Genomic DNA, 26,840 nt, shown 5'->3' with positions numbered 1-26,840 from the left:
CTGACTCCAATCTTTCCTTCCAAACCATTCTCCCCATTGCCACCAGAATGAGCTTTCTTTTTTTTTTTTCTTTTTTAAATAGATGGGGTCTCACTATGTTGACCAGGTTGGTCTTGAACTCCTGGCCTCAAGCAATCCTCCCACTTTGGCCTCCCAAAGTACTGGGATTACAGGCATGAGCCACCACACCCGGTCCAAGACTGAGCTTTTATTTTTGAGATAGAGTCTAGCTCTGTCGCTCAGGCTGAAGTGCAGTGGAGCGATCTTGGCTCACTGCAACCTCCACCTCCTGGGTTCAAGCAATTCTTCTGCCTCAGCCTCCTGAGTAGCTGGGATTACAGGCATCCACCACCACACCCGGCTAATTTTTGTATTTTTAGTAGAGATGGGGTTTCGCCGTGTTTGCCAGGCTGGTCTCGAACTCCTGACCTTGTGATCTGCCCACCTTGGCCTCCCAAAGTTCTGGGGTTACAGGCACGAGCCACTGCGCCTGGCCAAGAATGAGCTTTCTAAAACACAAAACTGATTATGTTACTTCTCTACCATATATATTCAATGACATCCTACTATATAAGAGATGCATCTATTAGTAGGTATTTTAGTGGTCACATAAATTGGAGGAATACTGGATTAAACCAAGTCAAAATTTTTTACAGCAATGCTTCTCAAAGATGTTGATATTCTCATAAAGACTGTAAACGTCTACATAGAGGATAGCACATCTGGCTATTCTCCAAACTTGACCGAGGCATTCTTTTCATTTTATTTATTTATTTTTTCTGAGTCAGAGTCTTGCTCTATTGCCCAGGCTGGATTGCAATGGCACAATCTCTGCTCACTGCAATCTCCACCTACTGGGTTCAAGCGATTCTCCTGTCTCAGCCTCCAGAGTAGCTGGGATTACAGGCATGCACCACCACACCTGGCTAATTTTTGTATTTTTAGTAGAAATGGGGTTTCACCAAGCTGGCCAGGCTGGTCTGGAACTCCTGACCTCACGTGATGCACCTGTCTCGGCCTCCCAAAGTGCTGGGATTACTGGTGTAAGCTACTGTGCCTGGCCTCTTTTTTTTTTTTTTTAATAGCAGCTTGATGAACTAATGTTCCTTGGAACATACACTGGGAATCAATTTAGATATTTCATCAACTGACAAGGCATACAAGGCAATGTGAGAGGCAGATTGGGTGTAACGGTTTTAGAACAGAGAAAAACCACAGGGTCCTGGCTTCTTTACACTGTAGCTGGTCACTTCAGTTGTTACTTAAACTTTGTGATTCAGTTCCCATACTTGTATAATGGAAAAAACAATAGTACCTACCTCACAGAGTTGCTGACAGGATGAAATGAGCCACCAATAACAAAGCAATTATTATTTTTTCCCTGCTTCTCCCTTTCCCTTAAACTGAAGATCTTGTTAGAATGAATTATTCATGCAAATCCAAGAGTTACTGATGCCTTTACTACTGCTTGCTTCCTATATATATATCTACTCCTATTTTTAAAGTCCAGCTCAAAAGAAAACCAATTTGGAGATTTCCTTAATCTAAACCCCTGAAAAGAGATTTAATGCTTTTTTCCATTTTGTGTCCATAGTACTTTCTCCATCAAAACATCATAGCTTTCATTACATTACAAATTAATAGCTTCCTGTTTTTTATATTAAAATGTTAAATCAGCAGAATAGATAATGTTTAATCCACACGTTTGAATGACTTGTGAATTTAAGAAGGGATTTTAAAAATTAGACCAGGAGCAGTGGCTCATGCTGTAATCCTATTATTTTGGGAGGCCAAGGCAGGTGGATCACTTGAGGAGTTCAAGACCAGCCTGGCCAACAAGGTGAAACCCTATCTCCATTAAAAATGCAAAAATTGGCCAGGCGTGGTGGCTCACGTCTGTAATCCCAGCATTCTGGGAGGCCGAGGTGGGCGAATCACGAGGTCAGGAGTTCAAGAGCAGCCCAGCCAACATGGTGAAACCCTGTCTCTACTAAAAACACAAAAAATTAGCTGGGCATAGTGGCGGGCACCTGTAATCCCAGCTACTTGGGAGGCTGAGGCAGGAGAATCACTTGAACCCAGGAGGCGGAGGTTGCAGTGAGCCGAGATTGTGCCACTGCACTCCAGCCTGGGAGACAGAGCTAGACTCAAAACAAAACAAAAACAAAAACAAAAATTAGCCAGGTATGGTGATGCATGCCTGTAGTCCCAGCTACTTGGGAGGCTGAGGCAGGAGAATTGCTTGAATCCAGGAGGCAGAGGTTGCAGTGACCCAAGATTGCGCCATTGCACTCCAGCCCGGGCGACAGTGAGACTCCGTCTCAAAAAAAAAAAAAAAAAAAGTTGGGTGTGCTGGCACACGCCTATAGTCTCAACTATTGGTAGGCTGAGGCGGGAGGATCACTTGAGCCCAAGACTTGGAGGCTGTAGGGAGCTGTGATCCAGTCAGCTTTTAGTTTTATTTATATTTTATATTGCAACTATAGGAGTCAAATTAAGCAAGTTTGTTTCAAGATTTTCAAGAGAAGCCTGGATTTTATTTGCAAAATATTACAGGTACAGCTCTTTAATAAATTCATCCTTATTTTCAATAGGTTCATAAAAATTTGGGACCAGAATTGAAAATTTTTTCAAATAAAAAATACAGAGCATGCACTTGGCACTCAATGTTTTTATTGTCTTTCATTATTTCCTCTGAATCCAACTTATCATTTTGTTTTTTCTTGTATGTTATTCATGTTTGGTTTATTTTATAAAGACAGGGTCTTGCTCTGTCACCTGATATGAGAGCTGACAGTGCAGTCTAGAGGGGAAAGGCTCTAGACAGAACAAGACCCCATTTTTATAAAATAAACAAACAGGCCATGCTCAGTGGCTCATGCATGTAATCCCAGCACTTTGGGAGGCCGGGCCAGGTGGATCACCTGAGGTCAGGAGTTCGAGACCAGTTTGGCCGCCATGGTGAAACCCTGTCTCTACTGAAAATACAAACATTAGCCTGGCGTGGCTGGGCGCGGTGGCTCACGCCTGTAATCCCAGCACTTTGGGAGGCCAAGGTGGGCGGATCACCTGAGGTCGGGAGTTTTGAGACCAGCCTGACCAACATGGAGAAAGCCCGTCTCTACTAAAAATACAAAATTGGCTGGGCGTGGCGGTGAATGCCTGTAATCCCGCTACTCCAGAGGCTGAGGCAGGAAAATCGCTTGAACCTGGGAGGCAGATGTTGCAGTGAGCCAAGATCGAACCACTGCACTCTAGCCTGAGAGACAGGGTGAGACTCTGCCTCAAAAAAAAAAAAAAAAAAAAAAAAAATAACAATTTAAAAAAACACAAATAAAGAATAAATAACATACAATAAAAAACAAAATGGATTCAGAGGAAATAATGAAATACAATAAAAACATTGAGTGCCAAGTGCATGCTCTCTCTCTCTATATATATTTTTTGAGACGGAGTCTCCCTCTGTTGCCAGGCTGGAGTGCAGTGGCGCGATCTCAGCTCACTGTAACCTCCGCCTCCTGGGTTCAAGTGATTCTCCTGCCTCAGCCTCCCGAGTAGCTGGGACTACAGGCGTGGACCACCACAGCCAGCTAATTTTTGTATTTGTAGGAGAGACGGGGTTTCAACATGTTGGCCAAGATGGTTTTGATCTCTTGACCTCATGATCTGCCCGCCTCGGCCTCCCAAAGTGCTCGGATTACAGGCATGAGCCACCATGCCCGGCCTATATTTTTTATTTGAAAAAATTTTCAATTCTGGTCCCAAATTTTTATGAACCTATTGAAAATAAGGGTAAGTTTATTAAACAGCTATACCTATAATGTTTTGCAAATAAAATCCAGGCTTCTTTTGAAGACCTTGTAACAAATTTGCTTATAATTTGACTCCTATAGTTGTAATATAAAATACAAATACAACTAAAAGCTGGCCAGCCGGGTGTGGTGGCTCACACCTGTAATCCCAGCACTTTGGGAGGCCGAGGTGGGTGGATCACTTGTCAGGAGTTCGAGACTAGCCTGGCTATCCCAGCAAAACCTCAGCTCTACCAAAAATACAAAAATTAGCCCAACATGTGGTGCACACTGTAGTCCCAGCTACTCGAGAGGCTGAGGTAAGAGAATTGCTTAAACTCAGGAGGCGTAGGTTGCAGTGAACTGAGATTGCGCCCCTGCACTCCAGCCTGGGTGACAGAGTGAGACTCCATCTCAAAAAGAAAACTAAACAAAAAACCCCCCACCAAACCTAGAAGCTAAGAAAAAATGGTGGCATTACTTGTAACTATTTGCAATTAATATTCTTAACAGAGCATAAATTTTAGAAGAAAAGTGCTTGGGCTCCAATTCTTAATAAATATGTAAAATGGTTTACTTTTACTGGTAACAAAGGTTTTTGGGGGAGAAGATACTAAACAAATTAAGAAATTTATAAAAAATGGCCAGGTGTGGTGGCTTACGCCTGTAATCCCAGCACTTTGGGAGGCTGAGGCGGGCAGATCAAAAGTTCAGGAGATCAAGACCATCCTGGCTAACACAGTGAAACCCCGTCTCTACTAAAAACTAAAAACAAATAAAAAAATTAGCTGGGCATGGTGGCGGGCGGGCGCCTGTAGTCCCAGAAAGAAGGGCGTGAACCCAGGAGGCAGAACTTACAGTGAGCCGAGATTGCGCCACTGCACTCCAGCCTAGGCGATAGAGCAAGACTCCGTCTCAAAAAAAAAAAAAAAAAAATTTATAAAAAATGTCAGTCAATGCTACAGAAAGTAGTATATTAAGACAGATACTCTCATTAGTGCCAGTAAGAATGTAAATAGGTAGGCCAGGCATGGTGGCTCACACTTGTAATCCCAAGCACTTTGGGAGGCCAAGGCAGGTGGATCACTAGAGGTCAGGAGTTTGAGACCAGCCTGGCTAACATGGTGAAACCTCATCTCTACTAAAAATACAAAAATTAGCCAGGTGTGGTGGCATGCGCTTGTAAACCCAGCTACTTGGCAGGCTGACGCAGGAGAATCACTTGAACCCGGGTGGTGGAGGTTGCAGTGAGCCGAGATCACGCCACGGCACTCCAGCCTGGGCAACAGAGCGAGACTATCTCAGAAAAAAAAAAAAAAAAAAAGAGTAAGTTGGCATTTTGTTTTTGGGAATGTGTTTTGCAATGCAAAGCCTAAAAACAGCCAATTTTAAAAATTAATACTCATGAAATAATATAAAATACATAAAGATGTTCTCTGCTCTTTGCAATAAACTAGGAAAAAACCCTCTGAATGTACAAACAATAAGGGATGATTAAGGTTTATCCCGATGAAGCCATTTAACAGGCTATACATTTAGATCTAATTAATATAGGTAGATGTTTAAAGTTTCATGAGGACACTGCTCTTATCTAGCTTTCCACTTTTGTATCCCTAGGGCATAGAATAAGGCCTAGCACATAAATGTTTAATAAGTATTTGGTAAATAAATGAAAAAGTAATGTCGAGTAAAAACGATATAAAATTTTATAAAATGTGATTTCTGTGAAGAAGCTGTATAGAAAAAGAATTGGAAAGACACACAAACAAATGGGAAAAGAGGTCATGGGCAATTTAAAAAAATAGCTTTATTGAGGTATACTTTGACATGCCATAAAATTCACCCATTGTATGTGTACAATTCAATTACTTCATTTATACAACTGTTCAATTATCACCATATTCCAGCTTAATGGTCAATATTTGCTTTGTCATTTGATCTTTTCTCTATGGTAAGCAAAAATCTATTATTTGAAAGGTTCCTTCACTGAAAGCTGGGTGGAGTTGAACTCTAAAATTACCTACAAAATTACTTTCTATCTAGTCATCTATGTCTAATTCTTCAATTTGACACATGCATGTTACTAGCACAAGCTGCATTTTAAAGGCAGCAGGAAGGTCTTTTACTATCATTAGAAGTTAACTTTAAGGATTGAGCAGGCACGATACAGCATAGATTGTTTCGTGTGCTATATAGTAAGGTCAATATTCTTGCTCCTTCTACAAATAAAAAAAAGTTCCACAGAATAACAAGTACAGGTGGAGTTCCCAACGGAAATGCAGGTACTGAATACAACCAACTGCAACTGTTTCTCTGCTCCTCAATCCTGCTGGCGTAGTACGCGAGCTGCCGACGTCCCCCAACCCACCAGGTAAGCCGGCCGCTCCTGTCCCTAGGCTGTGAGGGGTTCAGAGGTAAGACCTTCGGTGTATTCACTTAGCTCCCTACGGAAAACTTCGAGAAGAAGGCGACTGAGATCGGTTAGCACTTAAATCCCTTTCAAAGCCCCGGCTCCCATCGCCCCTCCTATGGCCTCCTACCTGCAGAGAAGCAAAGCAGGTACACCCAGTGCCTTAGGCGGGCCAAGCCTAGCACTGTGGGAGCAAAAAACATGGCTTCATCGTCAGGGTGCGCTATGACCAGCAGGGTCCGGCTTTCGGCTCCCAGCCGTCCTCCCTGCTCCCGACTCTTCATTCGTTCTGAGGAGTCCCAAACCCAGAGGAAGCCCCATGCCAAGACCGCCAACGCCACACACAGGAGCCACATTGCTTCCATGATGGGTAAGCAGCACTGAGCCTGCGCAGTAGGAAAGGCTGCCTCTGACCCTGACTCCGGCTGGAAAACTTCACCGGGGAATGTTGGGTTCCGCTGTTAAGTCCCTCCCGCCGACATGCTCCGGAAGCTTGAGGTTTTAACGTTAAGGGTTCTCTTGTGTTTTAACACAGAAGTCTCCATGCCGTCCAGTTTCCTACCCTAGTCCTACCACACTGTACAATCGGTTTAAAAGGAAGCGTCTTATATATAAGCTCCCACTTATAGGAAGAGTTCCTTCCTCTTCATTTTCGAATTCATTTCTTAAAACTCGGGCCTTTCTCGTAATTATAGGGTTAGACAGCCCGTTATCCGTATGACAGTTTTCCAAAATAGCCAGTTACACCAACTTTGTTATTCCTTCTCACTTTTGGATGGCTTTCTTTACCTTTTTTTTTTTTTTTGAGAGGCTCTGTCGCCCAGGCTGGAGTGCAGTGGAGCGATCTCGGCTCACTGCAACCTCTGTCTCCCGGGTTCAAGCGACTCTTCTGCCTCAGCCTCCCGAGTAGCTGGGACTATAGGCGCGCGCCACCACGCCCAGCTAATTTTTGTATTTTTAGTAGAGAGGGGGTTTCACCATGTTAACTAGGCTGGTCTCGAACTCCTGACTTCGTGATCCGCTCGCCTCGGCCTCCCAAAGTGCTGGGATTACAGGCCTGAGCCACCGCGCCCGGCCCTTTCTTTTTTTTTTTTGAAACGGTCTGGCTCCGTCGCCCAGGCTGGAGTGCAGTGGCGCGACCTAGGTTCGCTGCTACCTCAGCCTCCCGCGTTCAAGCAATTCTCCCACTTCGGTCTCCCCAGTAGCTGGGATTACTGGCGCGCGCCACCACGCCCGCTTAATTTTTGTATTTTTAGTAGTGACGGGGTTTCTCCATGTTCGTCAGGCTGGTCTCGAACTCCTGACCTTAAGTGATGGCCCGCCTCGGCCTCCCTAAGTGCTGGGATTACAAGCGTGACCCACTGCGTCCGGTCGGGCCTGGCTTTTCTAAAGGAACGTATGCGTGCGGTTACGAGGAACCGTCGTTTCCCCAGCAGGGTGAGGCTGAGCGTGCACTTAACAGTCGCGAGGGCCACAGGCTCCTCTTGCAAGTAACTTAAGGTTAAGGAGCAACATCGTGGACAAATCGGCCTCGCCCAGCATTTCAGTGAGGGCTTGGTGCGAATTCCAGCCAGAGCCCTAGAAAGTATCTTGGGCAGGTCGAAATGCACCCCTCCAGCTCCCAGCCACGAGGGGACCGGCTTCCCTGTACGCAGCTCCGGCCAGAGGAGGCCGCCGCCGCCCCACCACGCCGCGGAGGGGTTTGCAGGGTCCCTTCCACGGCCTGGAGTTTTTCCTTTTCCCACGCCTGAGGAAGGCCTCGGGCGCGCGGAACAGACGGGCAGGCGGGGGGCGCACAAGCCCAGGGCACGATGGCAGCAGCGCTGGATCCGGCTGGGCGCTGCTCGGCCCCGTATCCGTCCGAGAGGACCGCCGCTGCCAGGCCTAGAGGAGACATGAAGAGACCGGGCGCAGCGCGACCCGGGAAGCTCCGCCGAGGTAGGAGAGGCGCCCGGCCAGCGGAGGGAGTTGGTCTCCCAACTCTCCGGAAGGAGGAGGAGCCGGCGCTGGAGCCGCCTTAGCCGCGGCTCCGCGGGCTGGGGGGAGGGAGAGGGGTTGAGTCAAGATGGCGGCCAAGGTGGCGAAGCAGCAGCCGCGGCGGCGGCGGCGGCTGGAGTGAGCGTCCGACTCGCCGCGCCGAACGAGGTCCCGGTGTAGGGCCGCGCGCCGTGGCCGCGTCCCACTCCTCAGGCCGGGGCGCACGTCGGCTCCCACGCTTAGCCAGCTCCCGGTGAGTAGGCCCTGGCGCCTGCAACCCCGGCCTCCGGGCTCCTGCTAGTCCGGGGGCTTCCGAGGGCTCCCGGGGCAGCAGCCGCTGGGACGGTTTCTCCGCCGGGCGGGGGGTGTCGCAGGCCTGGGCAGGTCGGGACCCGTCCTGGCCGCCTGGCCTCTTCCACTCGGCAGCCCAGGAGAGAGCCGGGCGCGGCGGGGAGCTCGGGCTGGGCTAGCGGAGGCTTATGGAGTTTGGAGGAAGAATGGGCTGTGGCCGGGCCGGGGCTGGCCCCGAGGTGTCCTGTGCGGAGGGGCGTGCGGAGCCTACAGGGCCTGCGAGGGAGAGCGGGCAGCCGGTGCCCCGGGTGGGGCCGGCGCAGGTGGCGGGCCTGGGCTCACTGAGGCGGAGTTGGTGGCCGACTTGGAAGTGTAGAAGGGGCTGCGGAGGTTGACAGCCATGGACAAGTGCGTGCAGAGTAAATTAGTTCACCTTTCTAACAGACCGCTTCAGGGTGTAATGGCGAAGGCTGGGTACTGGTGGAGATGGCAAAGATCCGAACACTATACCTTCTGCCGTTTATTGTTGGTGTTTTCTTAAGCGAAGTCCGTAAGTGCACCCCTTTTTGGGGAGAGAGGAATTTGAGAAACTGTAGTTGTGAAATCAGCCTTTATGGAGAGGAGACTGAATTCTTCAAATTAACTGGATCAGGAATAGTCATGTATTAAAGGAATGGATGGGAATAAGTGATATGGACGAAAACTATTTGCTCAGGAAGTGTCAGTTTTCTTTATGTGATGTTGCATGCTGCGGTGCCTCTTCCACAGAGTTAACCTTGGAGAGTAGTAGTATAGGTAATTCTAATCTTTGGGATTAGTATGTAAACCTGCATCAGATTTGCTTCTCTAATTATATCCTAATTATATTGAAATTTACATTCCTTGTGTGCACCCTGGTGAGGCAGTGATGGAAGGCTGAACATGGCACTGTGCAAGGAGCAACAGGCCCGGGATTTAAAAATGCCTACAAAGATTCATTCATTCGTTCAATATATCTTGATCAATAGCTGCTGATGCTGGGTCACATGTGATTGTCCTGTGGATAACTGAAGAGTTGATGGCATCGTTTAATTTTTAATAGCTTTTTAAAATGTTTTGATGTACCTTTTCATGAAGATATTTATTGGATGAACCAACTTGTACTTGCCCGGGCTCAGGAGCAGACCAATTTTAGAATGTTATTTAGACAAGGGTAACAATTACAGAAGAAGTAACCGCAAGTTACTGGAGAGAGAAATCTTGTATCTTTTTTTCTTTTTCTGTTAACATCCGGTGGAAGTTTATTTATTTGTTTTAATATTTATAGTACCCAGTTGCTTGGCCTTGCTTTAAGCACACCTGTTAATGGAAATCAAGATTAATTGTATATATGGATATAGCTATGTATAAAATGCTCACAGTAGGAACTGATTACTTACAATACTAAAATACTCTTTCCTTTTACAAAAGGCTTGCCATATGTTGAACTACTCCCCCGGAGAAAATATAATACAAAGTATCTTGATTCTTGCTCTAACTATGTGATTTTGGAACTTGATCAACCTTTCTGTGCTTCAGTTTCCTCATCTTGAATATTAGGTAAACATCTACTCTCCTAGGGTTGGCTGTTGTGAGCCTAAAGGGAGTTAATAGTTATAAAATTGTTTTAAACAGATTGAAGGGGTTATATTTCTGTGAGGTGGTAACAGCTCCCTCTGGGCTCCTGTAATGCTTTTTCTGCACATCTCTCGCGGCATTTACACTTTCTATCTTGTAGGTATTTATGTACCTATTTTATCTCTTGAGAGCAGGATAGGCCCTTCGCTGATTTTATCTTTTTTTTTTTTTTTTTTTTGAGACAGTCTTGCTCTGTCACCCAGGCTGGAGTGCAGTGGCGCAATCTCAGCTCATTGCAACCTCCGCCTCCGGGTTCAAGCAATTCTTCTGCCTCAGCCTCCCGAGTAGCTGGGACTACAGGCGCGTGCCACCATGCCTGGCTAATTTTTTTGTACTTTGAGTAGAGACGGGGTTTCACCGTGTTAGCCAGGATGGTCTCAATCTCCTGACCTCGTGATCCGCCTGCCTTGGCCTCCCAAAGTGCTGGGATTACAGGCGTGAGCCACCGTGCCTGGCTTATTTTTAATTGAATACTTGTTGGATTTAAAAAACAGTAAAATTTGTGTTTTGCCTATCCTCTTAATCAAAAAAGAATGAAATGATGGAAATTAACTTATAGGAAAGATTAGATTAGTTAATAACTTTTTTAAAGCTTTTTTTTTTTTTTTTTGGAGACAGGGTCTCTTTTGCCCAGGCTGAAATACAGTGGCTCGCTGCAGCCTTGACCTCTGGACTCAGGTGATCCTTCCACCTCAGCCTCCCAAGTCGCTGGGACTACAGGCACAGGCCACCACGCCTGGTTAATTTTTTTTTTTGTTTGTAGAGAAAGGGTTTGACCATGTTGTCTAGGCTGGTCTCGAGCTCCTGGGCTCAAGCGATCTGCCTGTCTCAGCCTCCCAAAGTGCTAGGATGATAGGGGTGAGCCACTGCACCCGGCCTTAAAAGCATTAAAAAAAATTGTGTTATGAATTGGTGAAATTTTCTTTTCTTACCTTTGTTATCTGCTGTAGAAGGCAAAGGCCTTTGGATAGACTGGGGGTTGATGTAGGTGAGTGTCAGGCTGTTTGTTTTTTAAAAAATATGTTTTGGTTATTTGGTTTTAATTGTATTCTGTGATCTATCTTAGTTGTAATTTCAAATTCTTCTTGATGCCTGGGAATGATGGAACTCTTGCATATTTAGTTCCATCTGTTCTTTTACTTAAGATACTGGATTTTACTAGACTATGATATAAAACAACTAGTAAAGATTGATCAGAATTTATTGTGTATAGTCTTATTTGTAGATTAGAGATTCATATATTTTTGTTTACTCACTTATATTCAACCAGTATGAGGTGCTTTTTATGTTCTGGCACACTACTAAATACTAGAAAGTTATAAAATATAGTCGAGCAGATCAGTTATATTCACAAATAACTCAGTCTATAGATTATCTTTTTTTTTTCTTTTTTTTTCCTTTGAGACAGGGTCTCGCTCTTGTCACCCAGGCTGGAGGGCAGTGGCGTGATCTCAGGCTCACTGCAACTTCAGCTTCCCAGGTTCAAGTGATTCTCCTGCCTCAGCCTCCTGAGTAGCTGGGATTACAGGCATGCGCCACCATGCCTGGCTAATTTTTGTATTTTTAGTAGAGACGTGTTGGTCAGGCTGGTCTTGAACTCCTGACCTCATGATCTACCCGCCTTGGCCTCCCAAAGTGCTGGGATTACAGGTGTGAGCCACTGTGCCCGGCCCTATAGATTATCTTATATTTGGTCCTTTTCAGGTTTGAGGATGCAAAAAATACATGTATACATGTAAATGGTTAAGAAAACATTTTGTTTCTTTTTCTATTAGCACTTTTTAAGAGCACTGGAAAACTATGAAAAGCTTCTGTAATGTAGTAATAACCGTATGTGGAGCATCTGTTTTTTATTTTGGTTTTCTTGTGGTGGCATTTTTCCTTGAACACTTATACTGTTCTTCTACCATTTTTTTCCTACCCCAGTAGCTTGTGTGGTCAAAATATTACTAGAATAGTCTTCAGATACAACCTATTTTTTTTTTCTTTGCATTTGAAAGTCTGAGACTGTATGAAACACTGCGAATGTTCCTATGGAGTTCTTCAGACAGTTTGCTTCTTCCGTATGTCCTGCTGTTACTTTTATTTAACAGCGATCTCAAAAACAACAAAATTGGTTAAAATAAAATGTTAATGGCAGGGCACAGTGGCTCATGCCTATAATCCTAGTACTTTGGGAGGCTGAGGTGATAGGACCACTTGAGGCCAGGAGTTTGAGACCAACCTGCACAACAGAGCGAGTCCCATCTCTACAAAAAAATTGAAAAATTAGCAGAGTGTGCTTGTGGTCCCAGCTACTTGGGAAGCTGAGCCTGGGAGGTTGAGGTTGCAGTGAGCCATGATCATGCCAGTGCACTCACTTCAGACTGGGTGACAGAGCAAGACTGTCTCTCAAAAAAAAAAATAAATAAAAATAAAATAAAAATAGCTAATTTATAGAATGTAGAGTCAGATTATCTAGTCTTGTTTTACTTTCGATAACACTGAAGGTCGGAGAAGTGAAGTGATTTACCTGCCTAAGTTGCTAAAGTTGGGCAATAGCAGAATCTAAGTCTTTTCGTATCTATTATAGTGTTCACTGTGTTACACTGTATCATCCATGGGATGAATCGATTTGATGATTGACACTTAAAAATCGGCCAGGCGCGGTGGCTCACACCTGTAATCTCAGCACTTTGGGAGGCCGAGGTGGGCGGATCATGAGGTCAGGAGATCGAGACCATCCTGGCCAACATGATGAAACCCTGTCTCTACTAAAAAAATACAAAAAATTAGCCGGGCATGATGGCACGCACCTGTAGTGCCAGCTACTCGGGAGGCTGAGGCAGGAGAATGGCGTGAACCCGGGAGGCGGAGCTTGCAGTAAGCCGAGATTGCGCCACTGCACTCCAGCCTGGGTGACTGAGTGAGACTCTGCCTCAAGAAAAAAAAAAAAAAATTGGAGTGAATAGGAAATGAGAGATTACTTTGGATATTTAGCTTAGGTATTGAATTTAAGATACTTCTTAATATTAAATTTTGGCAATGAAAATATAGTTTGAAAAAATTGATACTGATCTATGTCAGTGTTACAGTGATCACCAGGAATTATTTAGTTTGCTTAATTTTTAATCTGCTTTGATGAATAGCTTCTTAAACAAAAATGTCTTTGAGGTTATCTGGGTCCAGTGACACTTCATGGAATTTAAGTATTAATAGTGATGGAAATTTTATTATGCCAGTGGTTTAAATACCCCTGAGGCCCAAATAAATAGTTTAAATTATTATTATTACTATTATTTTTGAGGCAGCGTTTCACTCTTGTTGCCCAGGCTGGAGTGCAATGGCGCTGTCTCAGGTCACCATAACCTCTGCCTCCTGGGTTCAAGCAATTCTCCTGCGTCAGCCTCCCAAGTAGCTGGGATTACAGGCATGCACCACCACGCCCTGCTAATTTTGTATTTTTTAGTAGAGACAGGGTTTCTCCATATTGGTCAGGCTGATCTCGAACTCCTGACCTCAGGTGATCCTCCCGCCTCAGCCTCCCAAAGTGCTGGGATTACAGGCGTGAGCCACCACACCTGGCCTACAAATAGGTTAAATTATTTTATAAAATTAGCTGTTGCTTGTTTTGCCTACTCTCAGACTTCTGGATTTTTTTTTTAAGTATGAAGGATTTCAATTGTTATATTAATATAAAAGCTTAGATAAATAGCACAAACATGAACATTTTTTTTTTTGACAGAGTCTCACTCTATTGCCCAGGCTGGAGTACAGTGGCACAATCTCAGCTCACTGCAACCTCCACTTCTCAGGTTCAAGTGATTCTCGTTCTCAGCCTCCCAAGTAGCTGGGATTACAGGCATATGCCACCATGCCCCGCTAATTTTTGTGTTTTTAGTAGAGAAAGAGTTTCGCCATGTTGGCCAGGCTGATCTTGAACTCCTGACCTCAAGTGATCTGCCCGCCTTGGCCTCCCAAAGTGTTGGGATTACAGGCGTGAGCCATCGCACTTGGCCGAGTGTATTCTTTATGGTTTTTTTTTTTTTTTACATCCAAAAGCTTATTTGTAATATTCATTTTCTGTATGTATTCATGCTATAAAATTTATTTTATTTTAATTTTTTAAAAATAGAGATGGGGTCTGATTGTTTTGCCCAGCCTGGTCTTGAATTCTGGGCTCAAGTAATCCTCCCACCATGGCCTCCCAAAGTGCTGGGATTACAGGCATGAGCTACCATGCCTGGCCTATAAAATTTATTATAAAGGAAAAGGCATATTCTTATTAAGCTGATAATCTTTACATAAATACTGAAGCATGGCATATTTCTTTATTCTACTTGGGCTATTTTGTGTTGCATTAAGAAGAATTTTTTGTTTTTTTTTCTTGTTACTATGCTTGTTTCTGGAATACTCCTTTCCTCCCTTACTCTTCCAAACTCTACTACATCTAAATTTATCCTATTTTTCAAGGGTTTGATCACATATTACATCATCCAGGAAGTGTCTCTCCTATTCCCTCTTCTCCAAAATGTATATTTTTTATTCTGGGAACTCTTGATCCTTTGCCTCTAGACCGTAAGCCCTTTGTAGGCATGTCTGTATCTGAGTTTTTAAAAAATTTTTTCTTCTTTTCCCACTCCCAGAATAACACCCTGTGCCTAGCTCATAAAAATGAGCTTAGCAGCTAGAGTTAGTGTGGTTGCTGTAGAAGATCTCTGATACACATATGGCAGTTTGATGCTGAATAGTTTTTGGAAATTAAAAAACATGTAGAAATTTCACCAATGTCAGTGACTAACATAGCTGTAATTAGTAAATTATCAAAATATTTCTTTTTTTTTTCTTTTTTACAGAGGGTCTGTCTCTGGAGGCTTCAGGCTGGAGTGTAGTGGTGTGATCATAGTTCAATGCAGCCTCCGAGTCCTGGGCTCACGCGGTTCTTCTGAGTAGCTGGGACTACAGGTGTGTGCCACCACACCTGGTCAATTTTTTTATTTTGTAGAAACAGGGTCTCATTATGTTGCTCAGGCTGACCTCAAATTGCTGGGCTCAAGTGATCCTCCCACCTTGGCCTCCTGAAGTGCTGGGATTATAGGTGCGGGCCACTGAGCCCAGTTAAAAGCATTTCTTTAAAAAAGAAAAAAAAAATTCTGTTTATTGGAATTTTGGGGAGAAAGAGAAAGTAAACATGGGATTGGTTCATCCTAGACAGCACTCATGGTTCTAGATAATATTAGAATGCAATAATGTTTTAATTTTTATATGCAGGGAATTTTGGAGTAGTTTCAATCCTAGGAAAAAACTGTGAGTTAGAAATACAGAACGGTTGGCCAGGCATGGTGGCTCACGCCTGTAATCCCAGCACTTTGGGAGGCCAAGGCAGGTGGATCACGAGGTCAAGAGATCGAGACCATTCTGGCCAACGTGGTGAAACCCCATCTCTACTAAAAATACAAAAAAAAAAAAAAAAAAAAAAAAATAGCTGGGCATGGTGGCACGCGCCTGTAGTCCCAGCTACTCAGGAGGCTGAGGCAGGAGAATCGCTTGAACCTGGGAGGCAGAGGTTGCAGTGAACCGAGATTGCGCCACTACATTCCAGCCTAGCGACAGAGCGAGACTCCGTCTCAAAAAAAAAAAAAAAAAAAAAAAAGAAAGAAATATGGAACGGTTGGTTGATAGGATTATAATAGAATTCAGGACTCCCTTTGAAAGAATAATATCGACTAGTTTTATATAAAAAATTAAGTAGATTAGTCAGGAGTAAAGGAAAAGTCAAGAATCCTAACTTATTTGGATTTCTTTCCCCCATTACAGTGTACTCGAGGAACAAAATTTGGGCTGTTTGGCTGTTTTTATTCTTTGTTATACACAAATAAGCTGATATCAAAACCAAATATATTGAGGTTACATTTTTCTTTTCTTTTCTTTTCTTTTTTTTTTTTTTTTGGAGATGGAGTCTCGCTCTCACCCAGGCTGGAGTGCAGTGGCGCGGTCTCGGCTCATTGCAAGCTCCACCTCCCAGGTTCACACCATTCTCCTGCCTCAGCCTCCAGAGTAGCTGGGACTACAGGCGTCTGCCACCACGCCTGGCTAATTTTTTGTATTTTTAGTAGAGATGGGGTTTCACTGTGTTAGCCAGGATGGTCTCGATCTCCTGACCTCGTGATCCGCCTGCCTCGGCCTCCCAAAGTGCTGGGATTACAGGCGTGAGCCACTGCGCCCCGCCAAGATTACATTTTTCTAGGAAATTTTGACTCTTAGATTTATGATGAGAGTCACCTTTATGCTTATAGATTGCCCCTTTACCCCATACTTTGTTGAACTGACAGACATTCTTCTTGCCATTATCACTGTCATACACAGTTCACATTCAGAGTAATTTGTTTTAGGCAATTCATTTCCCCTGGCAATAACATAGAGATTTATGTAATTTTGAAAATGTTTGTTTTAAGTAGTCATCATCATGACTTTGAGTTTCTGTTCAAAGATGTTTAACTTTGCGTTACTTTTAAGATTTTTAAATTCATTTTTAATTACAATAACTTTTATGTATTTGGAGGTATTTGGAATGAAATCAAAACTTGTGCTATCTAGGAGTTATAACCTAAAATATGCAGAACGTAAATATACCTGATGTAAGAGTATATACATTCTGTTGGGGGGGAGGAAGAAGTTACTTTATATTCACACAAAATCATTATAATGCATGAAGGAGGATATGCTATTTTAAAATCTTATCTTTCACTAATTATAAGTAATACATTATTTTATATATATACCGAAATTGAAAGAACCACTTCTTGGATGTAATCTACTGAGTTTGTTGCATATTCTTCCAGTTTTCTTTTCTGTGTTTGTCTAATTTTCTATATTATGGGATCATAATGTACTATTCTTTTATATACTACTGTTCCAAGTTTGTCTATTTATTTCAGTTACCTCTATCAATCATTAACAGCAACTTAATATCCCATTTCTAGTACATGAAGATACCATAATTTGCCAGGCATGGTGACTCATGCCTGTTATCCCAGTACTTTGGGAGGCCGAGGCAGGTAGATCACCGGAGGTCAGGACTTCAAGACCAGCCTGGCCAACATGGTGAAACCCTATCTCTACTAAAAATACAAAAATTAGCCAGCCATGGTGGCATGTGCCTGTAATCCCAGCTACTCGGGAGGCTGAGGCAGGAGAATCACTTGAAACTGGGAGGTGGAGGTTGCAGTGAGCTGAGATCATGCCACTGGACTCCAGCCTGGGCGACAGAGTGAGACTCCGTTTCAAAAAAGAAAAGAAAATACTGTAATTTGCTTAATCAACTTACGGTCACTAGATTTTTTTTTTTTTTGGCCAGAAAAACAAAGCTGTAAACAATTGTGTGTGTGTGTGTGAATATTTATGCACATGTACATATGTATATGCATTTTGTGTACTTGTACAAACAGCTTTGTAGGATAGATTCCTAGAAGTGGAGTTGCTGAATCAAAAGATGTGAATAATGTAGATATGGATAGATATTTATACATTTTCCTTCCAAAAGATTGTTGTACCAATTTGTAAAGCTACCAGTAGTATTCAGGTATGCCCCATACTCTGGCCAATACTAGATATTACAGTTTAAAACATTTTGACAATTTAGGAACTGAAAAAATGTGATTCTGATTGGCCTTTTATCCATCAAGATTGAGGCTAAACATTTTTTACTATGGGGAGAGTTGTATTTCTTTCTTTCTTTTTTTTTTTTTTTTGAGACGGAGTATCGCTCTTGTTGCCCAGGCTAGAGTGCAATGGCTTGATCTCAGCTCACCACAACCTCTGCCTCCTGGGTTCAAGCGATTCTCCTGCCTCAGCCTCCCTAGTAGCTGGGATTACAGGCATGCACCACCACTCCCAGCTAATTTTGTATTTTTAGTAGAGACAGGGTTTCTCTGTGTTGGCCAGGCTGGTCTCGAACTCTCGACCTCAGGTGATCCACCCACCTTGGCCTCCCAAAGTGCTGGGATTACAGGCATGAGCCACTGCGCCCAACCTTTTTTTTTTTTCTTCTTTTCTTTTCTTTTCTTTTAGACAGAGCCTCGCTCTTGTTGCCCAGGCTGGAGTGCAGTGGCACAATCTCAGCTCACTGCAACCTCCGCCTCCCAGGTTCAAGCGATTCCCCTGCCTCAGCCTTCCAAGTAGCTGGGATTACAGGCGTCTGCCACCACGCCTGGCTAATTTATATATTTAGTAGAGATGGGGTTTCACCATGTTAGTCAGGCTGGTCTCGAACTCCTGACCTCACGTGATCCACCCACCTCGGCCTCCCGAAGTGCTGGGATTACAGGCATGCATCACTGAGCCCGGCCATGTGTCTTTTATAAATTGCCTACTTTTGTTCTTTGGTTATTTCCTGATGGGGTTATTGCGTTTTAACAGGTTAAAAAGTTCTCTACATACTCACTTTTTTCTTTCTTTTTTTTTTTTGTGAGACAGAGTTTTGCTCTTGTTGCACAGGCTGGATTGCAATGGCAGGATTTCAGCTCACCTCAATCTCTGCCTCCTGGGTTCAAGTGATTCTCCTGCCTTAGCCTCCTGAGTAGCTGGGATTACAGGCCTGCACCACCATGCCTGGCTAATTTTGTATTTTTACTACAGATGGGGTTTCTCCTTGTTGGTCAGGCTGGTCTGAAACTCCCGACTTCAGGTGATCCACCCGCCTGGGCCTCCCAAAGCGTTGGGATCACAGGCGTGAGCCAACGCGCCTGGCCTCACTCACTTTATTCATGTGTGTGCACATATCCCCCTAGCTATTCTTTTGTAATGTTATGTAGTCAGATATATCCAAACCCAGCACCATGCTGCTGTGGGACCTTGGGCACATTATTTAATCTCTGTACACCTTAATTTCCTTATTTGTAAAATGGAGATAATGTAAATAGCATTAGGCATAGTGGCTGGCACAAAGTAAGTAAATAATAAATGTTAGCTGTGACTCTTATTAGTCTATTTATGTGACTTTTGTGTTTTGTGCTCTACTTAAGACTTTCCTTACTCCAAAATGTAAAATATTCACCTATCTACTAAACTAGAAAAACAAAGCGAGGAACATTATATGCCTCTATGTGTCTTTGCTTTAAAGATGAAAAACAATGTATACATGTTTGCTTGTATATCGCAGGATATATGATACTTGGAAACATTGGTTGTCATAGTAAGAAGAATGAGTGAGAGGAAGACTTTTTAACTGCATGCCTTTTTGTATTTTTAAAACAAAGGAGTCCCCAGGTTGTAATTTAATACTTCAGTGGTTTCTTTTTCTCCTTTTCCTTCTCTTTTTAAAACTTCTAATTCTTTGATCCATCTGGAATTTATTTCTGGTATAAGAAGTGAGACATATTTTGGGGGATAAAATTGTGTGTGAATTCTACCCTAACTAGCTAGTTGTGTCAGCACCATTTAGTGAATAATCTGTTTTTTGCCCCACTATTAGAATTGCAGCTTTTGTCATTTACTAAATGTGTTTGGGACTATTTCTGATTGGTCTTGTTATTTTATTTTGATCTCTTGTGTATTATTTTATTTTGATCTCTTATTATTTTATTTTGATCTCTTTGATTACCATATACTTTAAATTACTATCATTTTATAATTTTAATACAGATGGGGTTAGTTACCTGTTCATTACTCTTTTTTTCAGACTTTGACAATTCTGGTCTATGTGTTCTTCTAGATGAACTTTAGAATCATTCTGTGACATTCAAAAAGAAATCATAGAGATTTTTATTGAATGCTGAATATTGATTGGGAATACTGAAATTGTAGGTGAAGTTTGGGGAAATTGACATCTTTATATACTTTCTGTCCTGTGTTCAAATAGATTTTTATGTCCCTCAATAGATTTTCACACTTTGCTTCAAATAAGTCCTGTACAGATAAGTCTCGTATATTCGTATATTTCTTATTTCTTTTAAAAAAATTAGACCCATGAATGGGAGTTTGTTTGTTTATTTTATTCAACAAATATTGTAGAGAATCAAACAGGTAGTTTTTATTCTAGTGAGGGAAGACAGAATATACTTAAATAAAATGAAGTACGTAATCCATTTCAGATTATGATAAACCTATAAAGGAACAAAAAGGGTGATGTGATTGAGAGTAACTTGTGGGAGCTTACCTTATATGTAGCGTGGTTAGAAAGACTCTTCTGAGATGACATTTGAACTGAGACCTTAAGTTTGAGGAGGAGCTAGCCACCTGAATGAGCCAGGAACAGCTTTCCTGGCAGAGAGTAAAGGACAAAGACCCAGTTAGGAAGGACCTGGCAGAGAAGGGCTCCTGAAGAAACTGAAAGGAAACTCATGTTGCTGGGGCCTAGTGAGCAATCTGGAAAGTAAGCAGGCCAAATCAAGTAGGGCCTTGGGTCATCGTAAGTACTTGAGACTTTATTTGCGGTGCGTAGGAAATCCTTGGGGAATCTGAAGCAGGAGAGTGACATGTTCTGATTTAAGGTTTAAAAAGAACACTTGGCTTTTTGAGTTGAGAAAGTATTGAAGTGGGAAGCCCAGTTAGGAGTTTTTTTGCAGCAAGAGGTAAGGATGGTGGTAGTTAGATGGAGAGGCCTGGGAAGCTTCAGAGTGTGTGTGTGTGTGTGTGTGTGTGTGTGTGTAAGGAACAGCTAAACAACTTGCTGTTGGAGTGGGTGTTACTGAGAGCTAAGTACTGCTAGCTGCTGCAGAGGCCATGTAGAGCAGAACAGAGCTGATCTTTACCTTCACAGGTGTTTGATAGTTCTGTTTGTTTCTAAGGTGTGTACCAAAATAAAGTAGGCTAAGAGCATTTGACTTTAAGATTTATGGAGCTCGGGGGTGCTGAGAGGGGTGCAGCAAAAAACAGAGTCTGTTCATAACCCTTGATTAACCTGTAGTCTCTGTTAGTGGGTCAAAGGGGAGGCAGCAGCAGATGATCTTTAAGGTATCTGTCTCTGAGTTAGAAAAACATAGCTTGAGGAAGTTATGTAGCTTTCCTACAGCCTTAGAGATAATAGTGGAACCAGACTTTTAGGTGAGCTCACGCACACACCAAGTCTTAGTACACTGGCTAGTATATATCTAGAGCTCAGTAAATGGTAACTCTTTTAGTAATATCCACTTAGACATTGTTATATCTATTAATTCAGGCCAAATATCTACATTAAAATTGTTCTTATCTCAATTTCTTTGTTCTTCTTTTGTGTTAATCAAGGAGGGAATTGGCATGTAGTCATCCACTTTGGTTGTGAAGTATATTTGTTCTTTTTTTTTTTTTTTGAGATGAAGTCTTGCTCTGTCGTCCAGCCTGGAGTGCAGGGGTGCGATCTCGGCTCACTGCAACCTCTGCCTCCCAGGTTCAAGTGATTCTCGTGTCTCAGCCTCCTGAGTAGCTGGGATTACAGGTGCGCACCACCACGCCTGGCTAATTTTTTGTATTTTTTTTTTTTTTTTTTTGAGATGGAGTCTCGCCCTTTTGCCCAGGCTGGAACGCAGTGGTGCAATCTCTGCTCACTGCAGCCTCTGCCTCCCGGGTTCAAGCGATTCTCCTGCCCCAGCCTCCCAAGTAGCTGGGATTACAGGCGTGCGCCACTACGCCCCGCTAATTTTTGTATTTTTGGTAGAGATGGGGTTTCACATGTTGGTCAGGCTGGTCTTGAACTCTTGACCTCATGATCCTCCTGCCTCAGCCTCCCAAAGTGCTGGAATGACAGGCGTGAGCCACCGCGCCCAGCCGTATTTTTTGTATTTTTAGTAGAGACGAGGTTTTGCCAGGTTGGCCAGACTGGCCTTGAACTCCTGACCTCAAGTGATCCACCTGCCTCTGCCTCCCAAAGTGCTGGGATTACAGACGTGAGCCACCGCGCTTGGCTGGCTTTGAAATATGTTTGTTCTTATAAGTTGAGTGAGTGAGTGAGTGTTGTTCAGTTCAGAGAATTAGTTCAATGTAGTGTCGACATACCACAGAGTTTTCAGTTGGATATTGTTACATTGTACTGCTGTCTTGGGACAGCACTTTTTGTAGAGGTAAAATAGCATCATTTTTCTTTCATTTAAGAATTATGTATTTATTATTATTTTTTGAGATAGAGTCTTGTTCTCTTGCTCAGGCTGGAGTGCAGTGGCATGATCTTGTCTCACTGCAACCTCTGCCTCCTGAGTTCAAGTGATTCTCTTGCTCAGCCTCCTGAGTAGCTGGGATTACAGACATGTGTCACCATGCCCGGTTAGTTTTTGTATTTTTAGTGTAGACGGGGTTTTGTTTTTTTGGCCAGGCTGGTCTCAAACTCTTGGCTTCTAGTGATCCACTTGCCTCGGCCTCCCAAAGTGCTGGGATTACAGGCGTGAGCCACTGTGCCTGGCCAGAATTACTTATTGAGTATGTGTACCCATAGATTTATCAAATAATTATATCCTTATTAAAATTTTTCTTTCAATATCATACTTTATAAGAGGTAGGATAGGTTAACTAAAAAGCTTTTTCTTTAGCTTCTATTTGTTTCTCTGTCTTTAAGTAAGATGTCATGATGTCAAAAGAGGCTGCAAATAAAATACCTTGTTAATGGCATTCTCCCAGATTGGATCTTAACCAAAAGGCTGAGAAGCAGTAGCTTTTTTTTCCCCCCAAAGGGAAGAATGCTTTAGTTTATTTTACAAGAGAAAATTTATTACAGTATAGCACCACTCTGGTCTTGTACAAATTACAGAATTCACTTAGATAATTTCTAGTCTTTCCTCTCCTGCATGCTGGGCTCTGTAATAAGTTTAGGAGGTCGGCTTTCTTTAAATTATCCCCAGGTTGGAGGATTTTGGGTGTTGGGATGCCCAGGGTGGTGGTCCTTCTTAGCTTTGTCTTGCCTAACATACTTTTAGAATTGGTGTAGAGCTGGACAGCTTTGTGGGAACTGGTGTGACCTAATTTTCCTCAGTTTAATAACTAATATTTTAGCATTTGAATGTCATAAAGGCATTGCCCTACCCCATACTTTTGTATCAGTAGGTTTTATTATTTTATCACGTAAAAATTACATATTTTGTGGGATCCTTTTTCTGCTTTGGTGAAATGTAGGCTTCACCTCTATTGTGACGCTTGGTGGATTCATTCTTGCTCATCTGAAGTGGCATCTGCAGTCCTGCCACAGTGAAGTATATTTTTAGCTTTTTTTTTTTTTTTTTTTTTTTTTTGAGATGGAGTCTCGCTCTGTTGTCAAGCTGGAGTGCAGTGGCACGATGCCAGCTCACTACAACCTCCGCTTCCCAGATTCAAGCGATTCCCCTGCCTCAGCCTCTCGAGTAGCTGGGACTATAGGTGTGCACCACCATGTCCGGCTAATTTTTTTTTTTGTGGGTGTGTTTTAGTAGAGATGGAGTTTTACCACGTTGGCCAGGATGGTCTTGATCTCCTGACCTTGTGATCCGCCGGCCTTGGCTTCCCAAAGTGCTGGGATTACAGGTGTGAGCCACTGTGCCTGGCCATTTTTAGCTTTTTTTCCAAGATAGCTTAGGCCACCTTGAACACCTTTGCATAACACATTTTGGTTATGCAAAAATTGTGGGCCAAAAGCCAGGAGTTCCTGCTGAGAGGAAAAATTGCTTTTTTTTTTGGCAGGATAGTATTTGAAATTTTGTTGTTGCAAGATTTTCCTGTTGAGTAAATATGTGTGCGTTTATTTAATATGAGAGGATTTAAAAAGGAACTTAAATAGATCAATTTCATTTTGCAATATTGTATTACCTGTTTGCAATATATAAGAGGCTAGTTCTGGGTTTATCTGTATAATTCAGTTAGAAGTGCTGTTGTCTTTTATGACAGTGACATATAATTATTACTATATTATTCCCATCCTAAAACATTATATGTTGATATTTAAGAGATGAGGAAGTTGCTTATAAAATCTCGATCAGATTTCTTAAACAATTCGTAGAATTTTTTCAGTTCATGAGTCAACCATGTAACTACCCTGAGTTAATGAGTTTTGGTGCTAAGAACTGAAATTATAATTTGATACTGCCACTTAAGGTGCTCCCTTCCCCTTCAGTCTGAACTTTAAACTAGATTCTTTTATTTCAGTGGGTTTCAAATGTAAAGTATTCTGCCGAGGTATCTTAGTGAGCCAGGACTAGAGTGAAGGGTGGAGGGAAGGATGGGAAAGGGCAGGGGGAGACTGAAAAGATGAATCCTAGGTCTCCCATTCTTACTAGATCGGAATGTTTCTCCATTGTATCTTTTGTACATTTAGCTTTCATTTAAGACTTTTGAGGAAAACATTCTGGTTAAAAAACAAAATCTGAGCACTGTTGCCGTGTATCTCATGGATAAGTTTTGAGGAAGGAGGTTGTCGTGGTCTCCAGGCTGCAGTTCATGCGAGGACAGGAAGGGCTTGCTTTGACCTGTAAATTTGTATGCTAGTAGGGGCTAATTTCCTGATTTTGCTAGTGTGTGTGTGTGTGTGTGTGTGTGTGTTTTTTTTTTTTTCCTTCTGTATTGGGCGGATAGTACTTTTAAAGAAAACTGACTTTTTTTTTTTTTGAGATAATAAAGTTAAACTTCACTAAAGTCATACCACAAAACGGACAAGGAAGGATTACTGAGATGAGGGAAAAAATGGACAAGTCACTTAACTTGTGACTTTGAGTGACATTGAGTGTAATTGTTGAACTCAGGACTCACCATAGCTGAAAGTTAAACAATGTGCATTAAAAAATTGTACCTCATGGGTTTCTAATCATTTAGGCCACTGTTAGAAAAAAATTGGATGACCCTGGGTTAAAATCTTTTTTTTTGCCTCTTCATTCCATTTATAGCTTTATTTATTTGGGATATCTGAGTTGGGAGGAGAGTGCAGAGATAGATAACTTAAAGCATGTTTTAGGACAGCAGATCAGAATTAGTTGGAAAACTTTTACAAAATGCATGAATGTTCATATAGTGAAATACTCTTTTTTTTTTTTTTTTGACAGAGTTTCACTCTTGTTGCCCAGGCTGGAGTGCAATGGCACGATCTCGGCTCACCGCAACCTCTGCCTCTTGGGTTCAAGCGATTCTCCTGCCTCAGCCTCTCGAGTAGCTGGGATTACAGGCATGTGCCACCACGCCTGGCTAATTTTTATATTTTCAGTAGAGACGGGGTTTCACCATGTTGGTCAGGCTGGTCTCGAACTCTCAACCTCAGGTGATCCACCCGCCTCAGCCTCCCAAAGTGCTGGGATTACAGGTGTGAGCCACCGCACCCGGCCCATATAGAGAAATACTGTTTAGCAATAGAAAGAACCATAAATTGATGAGAATAATTGCCAAGATGTTTTTTTTTTTTTTTTTTTTTGAGACGGAGTCTCACTCTGTTGCCCAGGCTAGAGGGTAGTGGCGCAATCTCGGCTCACTGCAAGCTCTGCCTCCTGGGTTCATGCCATTCTCCCGCCTCAGCCTCCTGAGTAGCTGGAACTACAGGCGCCCGCCACCATGCTTGGCTAATTTTTTTGTATTTTTAGTAGAGATGGGGTTTCACCGTGTTAGCCAGGATGATCTCGATCTCCTGACCTCGTGATCCGCCCGCCTTGGCCTCCCACAGTGCTGGGATTACAGGTGTGAGCCACCGCGCCTGGCCAACCAAGATGTATTAAGTAATAAAAGCAAGATACAGAACAGTGTGTTTCTAGTATGCCACCATTTACATAGGGGAAAAAGTGTGAGTGTATGTATGTGTAGGATATTTCTAAAGGACACTCTAGAAACTAGTAACTTTGGTTGCCTTCTGGGAGTGTAACTGGGTAGCAGCTGGAGAAGAAGGGCGAGGAGATTTTTCGCTTTATATTCTGCGGTACTTTTTCTTAAGTCCTACATATAATATTTATTTCCAAAAAGATCAACCCTCCTCACGATGCCACATGCTGGCTTTTCCCCTTCCACCTGGAGCAGTTGCAGGTGTATGGATGAGGAGAAAGCTCCTCAGGTGGTTTTAATGTGTGCTCTCACTGAACATCTCAGCTCCTCCTAGTTCACTGCTTGCTGAGAAAGCTGCAAAGCATTGCAGAAAACATTAGTTTTTCCCATTTTGCCACAATTTTGTGATATTAGAGGAATTATTGACTTTCTCTGATCTTCAGATTTCTCACCTGTCAAATCAGTGTTAGTTGGGTAATCTCAACCTTACAATCCTTAAGATTTGCTGATCTCCATGCCTCAGGAAGGGAGCAGGGAAAAAACAGGCTGAGGGTCAGCTGGTCAGTCTTCTGACTCTTCTCCTGGTCAGCTTTCACAACAGCAGGAAACATGACATCAGGAGGAGGATGGTATATTTATTTAAAATATTTATATATTACATGGTACCACATAGTTTTTAAAGTTCTTTTTTTTTTTTTGGAGACGGAGTCTGGACCCCTCACCCAGGCTGGAGTGCAGTGGTGCCATCTTGGCTCACTGCAACCTCTGCCTCTCAGCTTCAAGTGATTCTCCTGCCTCAGCCTCCCGAGCAGCTGGGTTTACAGGCACGCGCCACCATGCGTGGCTAATTTTTTGTATCTTTAGTAGAGACCAGGTTTCACCATGCTGGCCAGGCTGTCCTTGAACTCCTGACCTCGTGATCTGCCTGCGCTGGCCTCCTAAAGTGCGTGAGCCACCGCGCCCGGCCTTAAAGTTCTTTCTATACGTTTTTCTTTTATTTTTTGAGTCAGAGTTTCATTGTATCACCCAGGCTGGAGTGCAGTGGCACAATCACGGCTCACTGCAGT

The 26,840-nt window shown here is 43.0% G+C and overlaps 2 protein-coding genes across 57 annotated transcripts in view, besides 6 other annotated features; one reads left to right on the top strand and one right to left on the bottom strand.

Moving 5' to 3' along the window:
- Window positions 1-6,583, bottom strand: part of PIGL (phosphatidylinositol glycan anchor biosynthesis class L) — a 109,202-nt gene extending 102,619 nt beyond the window's left edge. For all 6 annotated transcript variants that reach the window (XR_007065545.1, NM_004278.4, NM_001411072.1 and 3 more), the window contains exon 1: window positions 6,332-6,583. Coding sequence is in view for 4 of the 6 variants with exons in the window: in NM_004278.4 (NP_004269.1) it covers window positions 6,332-6,566 (235 nt within the window). In the remaining 2 variants the exon portion in view is untranslated. The remainder of the gene's footprint in view (window positions 1-6,331) is intronic.
- Window positions 6,558-6,807: an enhancer, noted in NCBI's record as "active region_11748". NCBI's record gives its function as "activates an Ori minimal core promoter by ATAC-STARR-seq in GM12878 lymphoblastoid cells {active_cell/tissue: GM12878}" and the evidence as "EXISTENCE:reporter gene assay evidence [ECO:0000049][PMID:35858748]".
- Window positions 7,631-8,546: an enhancer, noted in NCBI's record as "NANOG-H3K27ac-H3K4me1 hESC enhancer chr17:16118561-16119476 (GRCh37/hg19 assembly coordinates)". NCBI's record gives its function as "activates a minimal SCP1, AML or CMV promoter by ChIP-STARR-seq in primed H9 embryonic stem cells {active_cell/tissue: H9 hESC(primed)}" and the evidence as "EXISTENCE:reporter gene assay evidence [ECO:0000049][PMID:30033119]".
- Window positions 7,631-9,463: a biological region, named in NCBI's record as "hESC enhancers GRCh37_chr17:16117644-16118560 and GRCh37_chr17:16118561-16119476".
- Window positions 7,994-8,053: an enhancer, noted in NCBI's record as "active region_11747". NCBI's record gives its function as "activates an Ori minimal core promoter by ATAC-STARR-seq in GM12878 lymphoblastoid cells {active_cell/tissue: GM12878}" and the evidence as "EXISTENCE:reporter gene assay evidence [ECO:0000049][PMID:35858748]".
- NCOR1 (nuclear receptor corepressor 1) overlaps window positions 8,259-26,840 on the top strand; it is a 186,378-nt gene continuing 167,796 nt past the window's right edge. For 40 of the 51 annotated variants that reach the window (NM_006311.4, XM_011524086.4, NM_001439115.1 and 37 more), the window contains exon 1: window positions 8,259-8,431. The gene's annotated coding sequence lies outside the window, so the exon portion shown is untranslated. Of the gene's footprint in view, window positions 8,432-25,073; window positions 25,931-26,840 lie in introns of all 51 variants that reach the window. The other 11 variants (XM_017025409.3, XM_017025403.3, XM_006721602.5 and 8 more) reach the window with 3 other exon arrangements.
- Window positions 8,324-8,793: a silencer, noted in NCBI's record as "silent region_8216". NCBI's record gives its function as "represses an Ori minimal core promoter by ATAC-STARR-seq in GM12878 lymphoblastoid cells {active_cell/tissue: GM12878}" and the evidence as "EXISTENCE:reporter gene assay evidence [ECO:0000049][PMID:35858748]".
- Window positions 8,547-9,463: an enhancer, noted in NCBI's record as "H3K27ac hESC enhancer chr17:16117644-16118560 (GRCh37/hg19 assembly coordinates)". NCBI's record gives its function as "activates a minimal SCP1, AML or CMV promoter by ChIP-STARR-seq in naive and primed H9 embryonic stem cells {active_cell/tissue: H9 hESC(naive and primed)}" and the evidence as "EXISTENCE:reporter gene assay evidence [ECO:0000049][PMID:30033119]".

Source organism: Homo sapiens, chromosome 17 (genome assembly GCF_000001405.40).
Source record: "Homo sapiens chromosome 17, GRCh38.p14 Primary Assembly".
Taxonomy (NCBI): domain Eukaryota; kingdom Metazoa; phylum Chordata; class Mammalia; order Primates; family Hominidae; genus Homo; species Homo sapiens.
This window is presented reverse-complemented; position numbering and strand designations above follow the sequence as displayed.